This window comes from Homo sapiens, chromosome 1 (assembly GCF_000001405.40).
Source record: "Homo sapiens chromosome 1, GRCh38.p14 Primary Assembly".
NCBI lineage: Eukaryota > Metazoa > Chordata > Mammalia > Primates > Hominidae > Homo > Homo sapiens.
In genome coordinates this window covers 184,659,330-184,674,549 of record NC_000001.11, presented here as the reverse complement: position 1 = coordinate 184,674,549, position 15,220 = coordinate 184,659,330, and the positions used below count along the sequence as shown (strand labels likewise).

General features: G+C 41.4%; 1 long non-coding RNA gene across 2 annotated transcripts; it reads right to left on the bottom strand.

The window, feature by feature from the left end:
* Nucleotides 1–946: 946 nt before the first annotated feature.
* Nucleotides 947–10,208, bottom strand: LOC105371648 (uncharacterized). 2 transcript variants are annotated; one of them, XR_007066768.1, is made up of 3 exons: nucleotides 10,122–10,208; nucleotides 8,949–9,281; nucleotides 947–3,000 (listed from the first exon to the last, which is right to left on the bottom strand). It is a non-coding gene; the product is annotated as an uncharacterized LOC105371648 (long non-coding RNA). The 2 variants fall into 2 exon arrangements; XR_001738335.2 differs by lacking the exon at nucleotides 947–3,000 and having other exon boundaries at nucleotides 8,710–9,281.
* Nucleotides 10,209–15,220: the final 5,012 nt, after the last annotated feature.

Genomic DNA, 15,220 nt, shown 5'->3' with positions numbered 1-15,220 from the left:
TTTCTTTCAATCCACAGTTTGTCTCTTCACTCTGCTAATTTGTTTTCTTGGCTGTGCAGAATCTCTTTGGTTTGATGCAATCCCCTTAACAGATACATGAAAATATACTCAACATTGCTAACTATTAGAGAAATTACAAATTAAAACCACAATATCAGTTCACACCTGTTATAATAGCTGTTATCAAAAAGGTGAAAGATAAGTGTCGGCAAGGATGTAGAGAAAAGGGAATTTTGTATACTACTGGTAGGAATGTAAGTTAATACAGCCATTATGGAAAACGGTATAGAGGTTCCTTAAGAAACTAAAAATAGAACAGCCATATGATCTAGCAATTCTACTGTTGGGTATATATCCAAAAGATTTGAAATCAGTATGTTGAAAAGATGTCTGCACTCCCACGTTTATGGCAACATTATTCACAATAGCTAAGATACGGATTCAACCACAGTGCCCATCAACAGATGAATGGATTGTAAAATGTGGCAAATCTACACAAGGAAATACCATTCAGCTTTGAAAATGAAGAACATTTTGTCATTTGTGACAACATGGATGGACCTGGAGGACATTATGTTAAGTGAAATAAGCCATGCACAAAAAGGCAAACATTGTATGATCTCACTTATATGTGGAATCTAAAACAATCAAACTCAATGAAACAGAGAGTAGAATGGTTGTTACCAGAAGCTGGGGGCTGGGGAAATGGGGAGATGTTAGTCAAAAGGTACAAAGTTTCAGTTAGGAAGAATATGTTCTTTGAGATCAATTGCACCATATGGTGACTATAGTCAACATATTGTGTACTTGAAAATTGCAAAGAGAGTAGATTTTAAGTGTTTTTGTAACTGCCCAACAGGTTCACCTTGCCCACTGCCTAGACGGAGCCGATTTATCAAGACGGGGAATTGCAACAGCAAAAAAGTAATTCACACAGAGCTGGCCATGCAGGAGACCAGAGTTTTATTATTACTCAAATCAGTATCCCCAAGGGGGATCCGAATTTTTAAGGATAATTTGGTGGGTGGGGGCAGTGATTTGGGAGTGCTGATTGGCTGGGTTGGAGATGAAGTCACAGGCAGTCGAAGCTGTCCTCTTGCGCTGAGTCAGTTCCTGGGTAGGGGGCCACAAGATCAGATGAGCCAGTTTTTCAATCTGGGTGGTGCCAGCTGATTCATCAGGTGCGGGGTCTGCAAAATATCTCAAGCAGTGGTCGTAGGTTTTACGATAGTAATTTTATCCCCAGGAGCAATGTGGGGAGGGCTCAGAATCTTGTAGCCTCCAGCAGCATGACTCCTAAACCATAATTTCTAATCTTTTGACTAATTTGTTAGTCCTACAAAGGCAGTCTAGACCCCATGCAAGAAAGAGGTTTGTTTTGGGAAAGGGCTGTTGTCATTTTTGTTTTAAACTATAAACTAAATTCCTCCCAAAGTTAGTTTGGCCTATGCCGAGGAATGAACAGGGACAGCTTGGAGGTTAGAGGCAAGATGGAGTTGTTTAGGTCAGATATCTTTCCCTGTTTCAGTTATAATTTTGTAATGGCAGTGTCATTTTCACCATTAAAAAAGTGTTTGAAGTGCTGGATATATTAATTTACTTGATTTAATCATCTCACATTGTATACATATATCAGAACATCGTATCATACCCCATAAATACATACGATTATGATTTGTCAATTAATAATAAAAAGAAAGTGTTTTCCCAAAGTTGTTGCATTAATCAATACATAGTCCCATCAGCAATGTGTAAGAGATCCTATGTCTCCATATCCTTACCAGGCATTGTCAGATGTATTACTTTTATATCCAGTAAAAGAAGAATGCTCCTCAAAACAAACAAACAAACAACAACAACAAAACTGCCTTGTCCTCTATTCCCCTAGATTCTGGGAAAGATTTGGGGCACAGGAGGTGATATGTAAAAAAACGACTCCTCCACCAACAGCTTCTCAAAACTCTCCAGTTCTAGACAGCCTCTCCTAGCAATGGAGTGGAAACAGTGTGGGGGCGTGAGAAGGTAGGGAAACTGCAGAATTTTGTGTCACGGGGACTCTTTCCAGCAGATGGTGAAATTATACTGCAGGTCTGAATTAGAAACACCTCTGTCTCTTTCTCTCCCTCCCTCCCTCCCTCCGTCTCCCACCCTCCAGAAATACAAACACTGGACCAGCCGATTTTTATTCTGTGCAATATGTGCTCAAGCTATTCTCTTTGTAACCCTCTTTGCAAGTATCTGAGATCTGACCTGTTTATCTTTCTTTTTTACTTGACTGTGGGGTAAGAACCTGCTGTTTACACTAAGTGAGGTGTGGAGCTCTCTACACAAGCCCTGCTGAGAAAAAGAAATTCAGTCTTAACAATTCCAACCGGAAAGGCTGTTTCAACAATGGCACCTCGCTTGCCTCTCCTTTCAAAACTGAGTCCTAGTTTTTATCACTTTGCAGTAGCCTCGGACACAATACAGAGCACCAGATGGACATGAGGATGTGTGATTTTGCTCATCGATTCTGAAAAAGGTAGGCAGCCCTTTTAAAAATGTACAGAAAAACAATGAGGAACAGGGCTGATAAGTTTGAGGGCCAAATTGACTCTCAGCCCAGCCCCGGATTTATCATTCAGCCCAGAGTGTGGGCCCCCAGAGGCCAAGCTCCAGGTAAGTCAGTTCTCCAGGGGAGAGTGTTTTAAAATAGGCTTGGCGGGTTCTCTCAGAGCTCTGGACAAAGTAGGAAACTCAGGGAGGCAGTTAGCATTCCGTCCTATTTTGGATAGAAATAGAGTAGCTTCAATAAAATTGGTTTCCAAATCAATTTTCTTTTGAAGAAATAATACTGTCTTAAAGGAAATTTGGAAACCAGTAATAGTACTTTGAACCTTAATGGGAGAAAGGGTAAGAGGGTAGATCTGAAATACCTTTGGGACAGCAGAGCTGAGTAGAACGAGGTTAGATGTGGATTCTGTGTTGCCAAGAGCTAGGTCCACATGATTTCCAAAGCAACTAAATGGGAAAATAAGACTTGAATCTTCGGATGAAAAGTAAGAAGCCAAAACCCAATACTCTTGTTCCAATATGATGTAAGAGTAATGAGGGGCAGACCTGTGCAACTTTTGTTCATCATTCTATTCTCGTGCCTAGAAGAGTGCTAAAGAAAGAAAAAGGGGGATGGAGGGAGACATACCACATGGGCAGGGCTAGGAGTTTCTTTACAAGATACTTTTGAGACTTTTCCTAAAAATAACCACACACACACACACAGACACACGTGCGTGCACACACACACACACACAGGAAATTCCCGTTTTTCACCAGAGAGCATAATGAAGAAAAATTCAGAATAATAGTTAGCAAACATTTATCTCATCTGCAGAAAAATTCTAACAACATACTTGCAACATATCACATTTAAATGGCATAGGTTTCTTTGAACCCTTCAGTGAACATTGGTTGTGGAATGAATCTCTGTGAAATAGAATGAGCTCACCTGGTGCCTAGAGTTGTAAACAGACTAATTACATTTTTAGGAACATATGCCAAAAATGATTTTGGCTCAGCAGTAATTCATCCTAAACCATTGTATCTGAAAGTAGAGAGGGAAAATCTTTGCTTTTGCTCTCTGACCATGGAGAGGACTAGCTTTTCTGCCCTCAAAAGCAGGAAGGGTTGGGTTGATGGAAATACAGGCATTCTTTGCAAAGATCAAAAAGGGACTGTAAATCATTAGCATACATTTTAAACAAAAGGCGCAAAACCTGCTCTATTTGGCACTCCTCTGTGACTCCCTCCAAAAAATTGTGTATATTTTAAAAAAAACTAAACTTAACTGACCCCGGATCTGAAGGCAGTATAAAATGCTGGTCCATTTATGAAGCAGGGACAGTTATTGATTGAGCTTTTATTTTGAGCATTAGCAGCTAAATCCAAAATTGGCTTTAATCCACAGAATGAAAGGTTGAGAAAAGCTCAGCACAGGACAACAGGTGATCTTGCTGTTTATTCATGAGAGATGCCTGCACAAATTGATAAAGAGCTATCAAGGGCTGGGCCCGGTGGCTCACGCCTGAAATCCCAGCACTTTGGGAGGATGAGGTGGGTGGATCACTTGAGGTCAGGAGTTCGAGACCAGCCTGGCCAACATGGTGAAACCCCATCTCTACTAAAAATACAAAACTTAGCTGGGTGTGGTGGCATGTGCCTGTAAACCCAGCTACTTTGGAGGCTGAGGCAGGAGAATCACTTGAACCTGGGAGGCAGAGGTTGCAGTGAGTGAAGATTGAGCCACTGGACTCCAGCCTGGGCAACAGAGCGAGATTCTGTCTCAAAAAAAAGAAGCTATCATTGCACCATGGGCCTGGAACATAACTGAGGACCACTGAATTCTCAGGCAGAGTAGCTTTGGAAACCTCAGGCTGGCTCTTATCAAGAAGGAAATGAGCATAGCATTTAGTTACATATCCAGTAAACTGATAAGGCAATAATTTGAAGGAGATGGACTATATTTACTGCAATTCCTGATAAGCTCAAAGTGGTGAGCAAATTGCCTGAGACCCCTACCAGTCAGAGTAGACCACAAACAGATCTTCAGGGAAGAGGTCTTCATTAGGTGATTAATTTTTTTGAGGCATTAAATTACACTCAGTGAGAAGACATGACCAGAATCCAAGCAGACAGGAGCCTGTGATCTACACACATTTGTTCTGTGAAAGTTGTCAGAAACAAAATGGAGTCACTAATATTTTTTTAAAAATCCTGACTAATAGGGCCAGGAAAAGCAATGAAGAGAGAATTCTCATGCTTGTGTGCTTGGTGACAAAAGCTATCACAAAAGACTCTGCAAAGTTCACAACCTTGCACAAAGGCTGTCACAACCCTACACAAAAAATACTTGTGCCAGGGAATCTGCCCAACAATGGCCTGTTCAAATTCAGATTGGTGTCACCCTTGTTATTGATCTTTGTAGCCAAGATCTCAAAACAATTACATTAATCGTCCTTGTTTTTTCCTTTTAAAATGTTTGTCTTGCTTTATCTCTGTCAGTATGCACATAGTTTACTAGGGCATACATATTCCCATTGCAATGCCTTACTCATGAATAAGTATCTTTTTCTTTTGGAGAGCCTTTCTCTGTTTGTTATTTAGGTTGATATAAATGGTGTCAGAAAACGGGACCTGAAGAAAGCTCGCTCTCAGAAGAATCGGCGGTTCTTGACTTCGGCGTGCAGTCCTCACTTGAGCCCTCTGAGATCCCTGCCTCAGCAGCTGGCCTTTTCGGCCCTGGAGTCTTCTCTTAGGCTGAGCTTATCTCTTTTTGTCAGAGCATTTTTGATATTATTTGGGATCTGGTTTGGTTATAAGGCTGCCTTAAATGAAGGATCTTACATCTCTTCTGGGATGATAAACGACTATATGTCTTTTCTGGTAAGTCCTTTCTGGTATAAAAACAAGTGTCTTTCTGTTTGAGTGCTCTGATTTCTACAGAATTTGCAGTCTGTCTCTGAGCCATGTTTTTTTTTTTTTTTTCTGGTGAATTCTCTTTTGGTCTGCATGCCTAATATTTTATTTGATTAATATGCCTGATAACTTAAACGGTGGTGACTACCCTAATGGCTTTCAATTAGTCATCCTGCATCCACTATTGAGTATTTTTTGCTTCTTTGTTTTTTTGTTTTGTTTTGTTTTGCTTGGCTCTCGGAAGATTTTCAGAAACAAGCAAGGGGAAAGAGCCAAATCAGGTGCTTGTCGTCCAAATAAAACTAAGATAAAAGTGTTCACAAACATTTTAACCTAGGCATGTTAATCCTAGAGAAGACTACACGGCCAAAAAGGCGAGCTGCTGAGGGAGGAATCTCAGAGAACTTTACAGAAGTTTGTGTGTGTGTGTGTGTGTGTGTGTGTAAGATTGTGATGGCCTTTGTGCAAGGTTGTAGTTTTTGCAGAGTCTTTTGTGATAGTTTTTGTTATCAGGCACACAAGCATGCAAACCTGCTCTTCAGAGCCTTTTCCAACCCTATTCGTCAAGTTTTTTTTTTTTAATACTGGTGACTCTATTTTGATTCTGACAACTTTCACATTTCCCACCTTTGATCAAGATCTTTCTCTGAAAGCATCACTGATTATCCTGTAGTTGGATGTGACGGCCCTTGGTCCCAGTTGCTTGTCTCATCCCACCTTGTGGGGAGTGAATGTCGGCTAAGAGTCAGTGTCAAAACCCTTTCAGCCACATTTGAACAATAAGGGAGATTTGAAGAAAGTGGTTCTCATGCTAATTCTACCTAGAGTCTATTATTAAGTTCAATTTTGTCTGTTCCATAGTCTTTTGTTATCATCTCAAAGTGCTGGGCTAGTATTATCCTATTAGGGTTGTGTTTCTGCAAAAATTTTAATAAGTAATAGATACAAAGTTTTTGTTTGGTTTTGAGATGGGGTCTCTGTCACCCAGGTTGGAGTACAGTAGTAGTGTGATCCGGGGTCACTGCAACTTCTGCCTCCCAGGCTCAAGCAGTCCTCCCACCTCAGCCCCTGGAGTAGCTGGGACCACAGGGCTTGCAGATACAAAGTTTAAAAAGGGAAAATACAAAGTAAAAATATCAAGGCTTCAGTGAGCCATGACCCATGGTGCCACTGCACTCCAGCCTGGGTGACCGTGTGAGACCCTGTCTCAGACAACAACAACCAACGGCAGCAACAAAGTAAAAATAATAGTAGTATGAAAATCCCAGTTTAAATAATGGTATTGAGCCATACACTGAGGCTTAAAGATAAACAATTGAAGACATCAAATGATGAGAGAGAATTAAGTGAGAGCTGTTATTACCATGTGGCCTGTTTTCCTATTTAACCAATGGATATTAAAGGATCTCTTAGTCAAGTTTCCAGCAGGAGCTACTGATTATGAAATTTCAATTACATTATTATCTTGCCAAGTGAAAAAGTAGGCATTAAAAGGGGTAAGAGTCTCATGATGTGGAGTCTTTCGATGTCTTAAGAAAAGCATGAAAACATCAACTCTCCTGGTTTGCAGTCTGAACATCTCTGGTCATGACATTAGGCAGCATGATGGATTTCTTGTTTGGCCCATACATCAGGTATGAGACTTGTTCCTTTCTATCTTATTTCACTAGTATTAAAGAAAAAAAAACACTTGACAAATAGGGTTGGGGAAGGCTATGAAGAGTGGGTTCGCTTGCTTGTGTACCTGATAACAAAAAATATCACAAAAGACTGTAAAAACCACAACCTTGCATGAAGGCCACACAATCTTATACACACACACACACACACACACACACACACACACACAAATACTTCTGTAAAGACATCTGCCCAGTAATTGCTTGTCCAACCTTGTACTGGCATCACCCTTTCTATTGATCTTTGTAGCAAGGATAATTATCTCCAAACAATTATGTAATCCATCTCATTTTTCCTTTAAAAATTTTTGTCTTTCTTTACCTCTCTTAGTATGCACATAGTTTACTATGGCACACATATTTCCATTGCAATGCCTTACTCCTGAGTACATATCATTTTTATTTTAGAGAGCCCCTCTTCTGTTTGTTATTTAAGTTGACAAGTGCTGAGATTGAAGAGCTGACAAAAGAAAGATGTTAGTCTGAATTTGAACTTTCAAGTTCATATTCAACCAATTCAGGCCTGGTTACGTATGTCCCAAAACCTTACCTCATTCACCATTGTAATGGCCAAACCATGAGTCTCCCATAAATAGTGGAGTCTTTTGGATCCAGTAAGAAGTTTATATAAGATTTGAAGCTGATAAATCCTAAAGTGACCTCTTCCAAAATCTATTAATTCATGGCCTCTGAAGCTTAGCCAAAATCTTTGTTACTATTACTTCCCCTACCAGGAACATGTGGATACAGCCTACATTGACCCAGACATGAAACAGATAGAACTACTCATTCATTCGACACATATTTGTGAGTTATATCCCAGGCACTTTTCGAGGTCCTGGGGAAATAACAATGAACTAAGTAAAGTTCTAGACTCCATATAGCCTCTCTTCCAATTTAAATCAACAATTAATCGATAGAGGCTAGAGAGAAGCCAAATGGGATCAGAAATGGTGCTTTAAAAGACATTCATTCAGCAAAAAATCACCCAGAAGTTTAGATAATCTCTTTTGCATCTCATCTCAACCACTCAATCCCAGGTGTGGCCACAAATAGGCCTAGCACAAGTATAACAAGTGTTAAAGGGAGAGGGACATTATTTATCTGAACCTACAACTTTATCTTAGATAAAGATGGATTAATTATAATATAATGCTGACACCAATTGCAGTGAAAAAATTTCCCCCAGAGAGTCCCCCATTTGCAGGTACTGTTTATTAATAGATTGTCTATGGAGGAGGGATTTTAGCTGTAAAATTTGCAAATAAGACATTTCCCAGGGAGTGTTTCAGATTGGAAGTTTCCAGCAGTTAGTGTCTAACCATGCAAGTGGAATAGAGAGGTCTCTAAACTAAAACTGAGAAAGTATTCTTTGGGCGTTGGCCAGTAGAAGTTCACTGGTGACATAGGAAAGAACAGTTTCAGCCAAGAGCTGGAAGGAATGATACCAACATTGTCTTTGTCTTTGGTGGATTTCTAAGTCCCCAAATGGAAGTTGATGATAATCTACGGTTCTCCTTTGTGAAATGTCTCAGCAACTTGAAAGAAAGAATCTCTACATAAATCTAGCACTCTGTTGTTGCTTAGTCACTGTCAACCTGTTTTATTTTGTTGGTTTGAGTTACCTTAATGTTTCCTCGTTATAAATAGATAAGTTCAACCGACATCAAGATCTCTGACTGCAGTAGGATTCTGTGGGGAATCTGGAAGCACTACCATTTAGCACATTACTAAGACGTAACACATGCCCCATCCCCTGTCAGACCTCTGATTTGTGCATCGAATCCCCAGAATCCCCAGAACAATAATAGACTTTACTTTGTGATTCCTCTGGTGACACATTTCTTTTAGTTCTTCTGGCAGAGCTGGAGACTCGCACGACAAATTCACTCTGACGTTGTTTTCTAATTAGGTGCCTTGACACAGCAGGCATTCCAGTCTCCAACATTTCTTTTGTTTCTCTAATGTGCCAGAAAGCTGTCTGCTTTTTAGCTGCCTGACCTTTCAGAAATGTTACCTGCCCTGTAAAATGAGATAACACATGGAAGGCACCTGGCTCAGTCCGTGGCACCTGAGAGATTCTTGAGAAGTGTTCATTCCATTGCCCTGTTTCCTCTCTCCGCCTTCATACCTTCTGGTGCTTTAGTGAACCTCAAAGATAAAAATATTCCCGTTGTAAGGTTTACATTTTTCTTCATCCCAAAATAGAACTCAGTAACTCTATAAGCAGATACTATATGGATTCCACATTTCATTTCCTCTTATTCTCACAGGGTACCTTACAAGTTAGAAATTTGTATTGTCTCTGCTTTTTGGAGAAAGGAATCTTAACTTTTCTCAAGTAACCGAGGTTGCAGAGTGGGTCAATAAGGAACGTGGGACAAGAACCCGCATGCGCCTCTCTCCAAAAGTCTTCATCCTCAACCCCTGCACCAGACTGTCTTCCACACATGGGCTCTGAGCGGCCAGCACTGGATCTGGAGAAGCCACCACCCTGTCCTGTCCTCCAGGCAGAACGGAAGTGTGCCTGACCCCAGCTGTAAGCACCCGCCCTCTGTGGCCCGGAAAGAATCCAGTCGCAGGGCTTGGCCCTTCCCCATCCCCTCCTCTGGGCAGCCCGCGTTGAGTCCCATCTGGAACGTGGAGGAAGAAGGCCCTGTAGCAAACGCACAGCTAGACCCCCTCCCTCCCTGCCAGGCCTCCCTCGCCAACTCCATGCCCAATTTCAGCCCTGAGGGGCGAGAACAGCAGGTGCTCGGGCCGCCTTCGCCCTTGGTGTTCTGGGAGCCCATTGTCTAATTTTGCTCGGGCCTGGCCTGCTTCCTTTTTAGTCCTGCGCATGTGGGCAGAGTACAAGCTAATTGGCAGGGCTGTTCCAAATCCTAAAGAACGCGCGCGCTGCCTGCTCGCCAGCGGGAGGGCCGTGTGCCCAGCTTGCGCCCTGACATTTTCCGAGGCCTGGGCGAGGCCACCTGCCTGACGAAGGCTTACCAGGGAAAATCAGGTCCTGACAGCCTGACAGGGACAACCGCCCAGAGGATTCATCTGCTCGCGATGCCTGGTCAGCAAGGAGGAGACTCGACCTGGGACGAGGAAGAGGCCTTGAAGGGACAGAGGAGAGCGCATCCTCCATCCCCCGGCCAGGGAGAAGTCACGCGGACCCCCAGGTTGCTGGGCCGCGATGGGGGGAAGAGGAGACCACCCCCAGCTCCGCAGCGAGCGCCCTCACTTCGGGGAGACAGAGGCGTCGATCCCTCCTGCGGACGGCTGGGGGCGCTGCGCTTCAACCGAAGGCAGAGATCCTGGACCGGGGCGAGGCAAGCCCTCCCGGAGGAGAGGAGCTCTGAAGGGGGAAAACAGCTCTGCAGAGTGTAGAGGAGCCGGACTTTGCAGCCAGGTACCTCTGTGCAAGTCTCAGCTGTGCCTCTGAAGTAGCTAGCCGTTGCCCAGCACTGTGCTAAGGTCTTTTCATCACTGTGTAATTGAAGGCTCACAGCCACCCTTTAAGGAAAACGATCTTGTCGTCATTATTTTATAAGAAATGGAATGGAAGCTCAGTGCCACCCCTAGCCCATGGACACATTCCCAGAGAGCGGCAGTGTGTCTGGCCTGGAACTTAATGAATTCTGTCGGACAGAAGTCCATGCTCTTAACCATTAGGCCTCCCATACAAAGATACTTTGTACGGGGACATGAGACACAGCCTAATAGCACAGAAACTCACAGAGGACGAGTTTCTTAGTTTTGTCATCTCTGAAATGGGAATAATAATATTACTCCCACCTTGCAAGGCTTTGGGAAAGATTAGAGAGAATGTAAAAAGGTCCATGTGAGAGGTCCTCGTGGGTTAATGTGTGGGGGGAGTCCCCAGTCCCTCCCCGGGCACTCAGAGCGATGTGGGAAGACTGTGGAGCCCATGCTTATTGATGCTGTTTCATTTCAATTAAACCTCCGTCAGAAACATCGCATGACATCAAAATGGAAGAGATGTTGAGTCTGAACGGTGAGGTCATAGATTTTGTTTTTATTTATGTATTTTCCAAATAAAAATATGTATCATGTTTTCTCATCATAATTGTAATATGTGATGATGTATCAATTATGGAAAATACAGAAACTGTAAAAGAGGAAATGAGGAAAACCTTTGCTTCTCACTGTTACAGATAACTACTGTTCAAAATTATAGATAACAACTCTGGAGGCTGAGGTAGGAGGACTGCTTGAGCCCAAGAGTTCGAGGCTGCAGTGAACTATGATTGCACCATTGCACTCCAGTCTGGGTGACCAGCAAGATCCTGTCTCTAAAAAAAATAAAAATAATAAAAATTTTAAAAATATTTAATTAAAAAATTATAATGAATAATAATTTATTGTATATTTTAAAACAACTACAAGGAAAGAATTATAATGTTCATGACACAAAAAAAGATAAATGTTTGAGGTGACAGACATCCCAATTACCCTGACTTGATCATTACATGTTGTATACATGTATCAAAATATCACATGTACCCCAAAAATATATATAACCATGATATATCAATTAAAACATACTAAAAAAGAGCGATAACTACTCACTTTTCCTTTACTTAGAGTGTTTCATTAATACATTTACTGTTTTACAGAATTGGTATCACATTGTAGGTTACTATACTACACTTTTAAAATGTAATATTTCATAAACATTTTACCATGACATCAAATAATCTTAACACATTTAAGAATTAATGGTTGCCTTCCAATTTTCTTTGCAAAGTGGTTCATTATTTTTGTCATGGAAAAATAAATTTACACTTGAAAGAACTTTATTGTGTTAAAAAAATACTTGTAAGAGGGCTGCACTGCTTTGCCCAACAATGCAGTGTGTTATGTTTTATGTGTAGTGCAGGTCTGATGAAAGGTGATAAGCCTCCAGTAGTAACCATGATATGTGAAATGGAGATAAAGATGGTTGATTTTGTGAGGATTAAATGAGATCAGATAGGCAATGTGTCTCTAAGACAGTGTGGGCCATGGTGAATGCTGTCATGACAAAATTATGTTAGTCAAGGACATTGCTAAGAGAATAAGATGGGTGCTGGTTGGGGGTGACCTGGAGAATTGGAGGATAGCCCTGCCAGTGGCTGCTGAAGCCAGCTCCTACAGGATATCAAAAGCCAATGTTAAATACTCAGGAACTTTACAAGCTGGTTGTAAAAGCCTGTGAAATTTCACTGGTAGCTTGAAATCTGTTATGGTATGAGCATTTACACCACCAAAATTGGAAATCAGCAAATGCTATATTGTTCTCTATGTATGTATGTACTTTTCAGAGAGCTGATTTTACCAGCACACCACTAGCAGGGATAATTCAAAAGCTTTGCTTTTTCTCAAAGTGGTGGAGCCTGCAGGAAATGCTTGTGAGGGCTTGTAAAGCATTAGTAGATTTTGTTGAGATGGTGTGTGATAAACATGAGCTGAAATCTTGGTCTGATTGCTCTTGCTCTAACTGGAGGAAAGAATAGGGAAGCATAAGCGTTGGGGAAGCTAAAAGGGTAAACCTGGGGAGTTATTGTTTATGCTCCAAAAACAGAAATAACTGGATTAGAGGATAAGACTGCAGGAGATGGGAAGCCTTGTCACTTGGAGTGACAAAGACCTATTAGTAAATGGGAAACTCAGGGCTGAAGAGACATTCTTGGCCAAGAGAAACTTGTGGGAAGGAGTTTGATCGATGAACAAACACAGCAGTCTCTTTTGCCATAGAAGGCAGGTGGCAAGGATCAGAGTCAGAGGGTCCGTGCGCTACAAGGGTTCACAGATCACTGGTCTGTCTTCTTCATCTGACCCTGTCAATTACTTCTGAGATTCCCCACCCCCACCTCCAGGAGCTCAGGTGCAGGCTATAGTCTTCTTCTGCCACTTCTCTGTTCTGTCAGCACACCACTGCTTCTGTGCCCTTTGCCCTTGCAGTTTGGGTTTTCCAAAGGCAGAAGCAAGGACAGCGTTCTTCAAGAGGACTTCATGGTGTTTTAGAGATCAACACCTTGGAAAGGAAGAAAAGAAAGAGAATAGGGCCTGGGAAGACAGCTTCAATGCAGACCCAATAAAGCTTCCGGCAACCAGGTGAAGAATCTCCGGAGAGACCATTGCCCTTCAAATGTTCTGTGCCACCTGGGCCAGGATTTTAATAAGCTGCTTTGCTCAGTCTCCATATGAGAGCTGCCCAGGAAGGGAATGTCAGGGGCAAGGAGACTGCCTGCAACTGAGGCAGACCCTGGAGAGATAGAGGCGGGGGACTAACTACACTCCCACAGTGATCTGCTTTTGGGGAGGTGGCGTGGCAGAGAAGACACAGCTTTCTTCTTCCTCCACAGTGAGGGAGCAGCCTCCTTCACTACCCTCAGTATTGGTGCTCTTTAGAGGAATTTTCTGAAGGGCTGGGGACATCAAAAAGGAAGTAGGACACAGTAGAGAATAGGTCATAATTAATGTTAGAGGTGGCCACTGTCAGGGCTCACAGGTCCAGGTGGGCCTATCCTTGGCCTCTGCAGAGGGTTTTGGGGCCAGGCTCCACTGGCTGGGCCTGCCCACCCCTGCATCATGACTTCCTGTCCAGACCCAACTGCCCAAGGTCAGGAGAGAAGAAAATGCTCTCTGCCTCAGCCCAACTCAGGGCCTGGCTTCCCAGGCTCCATTTCTTGTGTTAGGATCTACCCTTTCTCAGCATTTTTTCAAAGGGGGAATGACTGCCTCTTTCTTGGGGAATGCCATTTTACACACACAGGTGGGGAGTGGGTGGGACAGCCACCTCAAGCTGGTTTCTCTTCAGCAGATTCTGGGTGGCTTAATCTTACAAAATGGTTTAGGCAGAGCTGCCCTAGGCCAGTCCATTTCTTTCTTACTGTGTCATACATGGGATTTGGTCCTGTAGCACTTCTTTCCAGCTCTCTACATCTTGCAAATTATGCTTTAAAAATCCTCATGCGTTTGATATAGGGTGCATTCTAAATCATTCAGAAAAGGAAAACATTTCTCCTATTTTTCTCTTTCCCTCCCTCCTCACCATAAAACAAACATGAAATCTCCAGTCAGAAGAAAACATAACCCAGTCTACAGAAATCTGAGCTCTGGCACAAGCAGACACATGTTAGCATCACCCTGCAGAACACTCAGCTTCTGAGGCAAAAATATTTCTTTTGGGAGAGGGATGATTTTACTAGGTTTTTTCTGAATAAACTTTATGAAACCACACGGTTTCTTCATATGGTTTTCCCAGAATAAAAGGACAGTCTACCAAAAGTGAATTTGAGTTTCAGTCTTTTCAGGAAACAGTGGCTTGCATTTTAAAATCATTGTTTTCTTCAGCTTTTAAATTAGTTAAAAATTAGTTAAAAAACAAATTAGGAAGAAAATTCTAGCTACAGGATTCCATAAGAGATACACATAACTGTGAAAATAAGAAAAAAATTCCCTATGAATAAATTGAGAATAACTTGAGTGGGAAAGCTTTAAAAGGTTTAAAACAGAAGAAAACTATCATGCAAGCATACTAATACATATTATTGCAAAAATGTTTAAGAAAGAATGAGCAAAGAGAACAATGTATCATAATAGTAATAATATTTGACCAAGGAGGGCTTATTATAAAAATACAAGAATATAAGAATGGTTCAATATTAATAAATATATTAATGAAATTCATTATATCAGTATATTAAAGCACATTATTAGTCAAAAAACTAAGTAAAGTTATAAATAGAAAAGTATGAAAATATGATAATGATGAACAAATATCAATAGCAAACATCATCATAAATAATGAAATGAGAATACCATTTTCATTAAAATCAAGAACAGAAAAGACATGCTCATTATCCCCAAAATTCAACATTAGTTAATTCTAGTAAATGCAAGAAGGCAAAAATTGAAATATTTTGCATAAATATGGAAAAAGAAGAGATGAAAGATCATACTTTAGTAATGTAATTTTATACCTAGAAAATTCAAGAAATATCATAATATTAGAATTAATATGAAAATTTTACAGGATATAAATATAGACCTGAAAGGCACAGGAGCCATATGAAGTTAGCTATAATATTTTATCA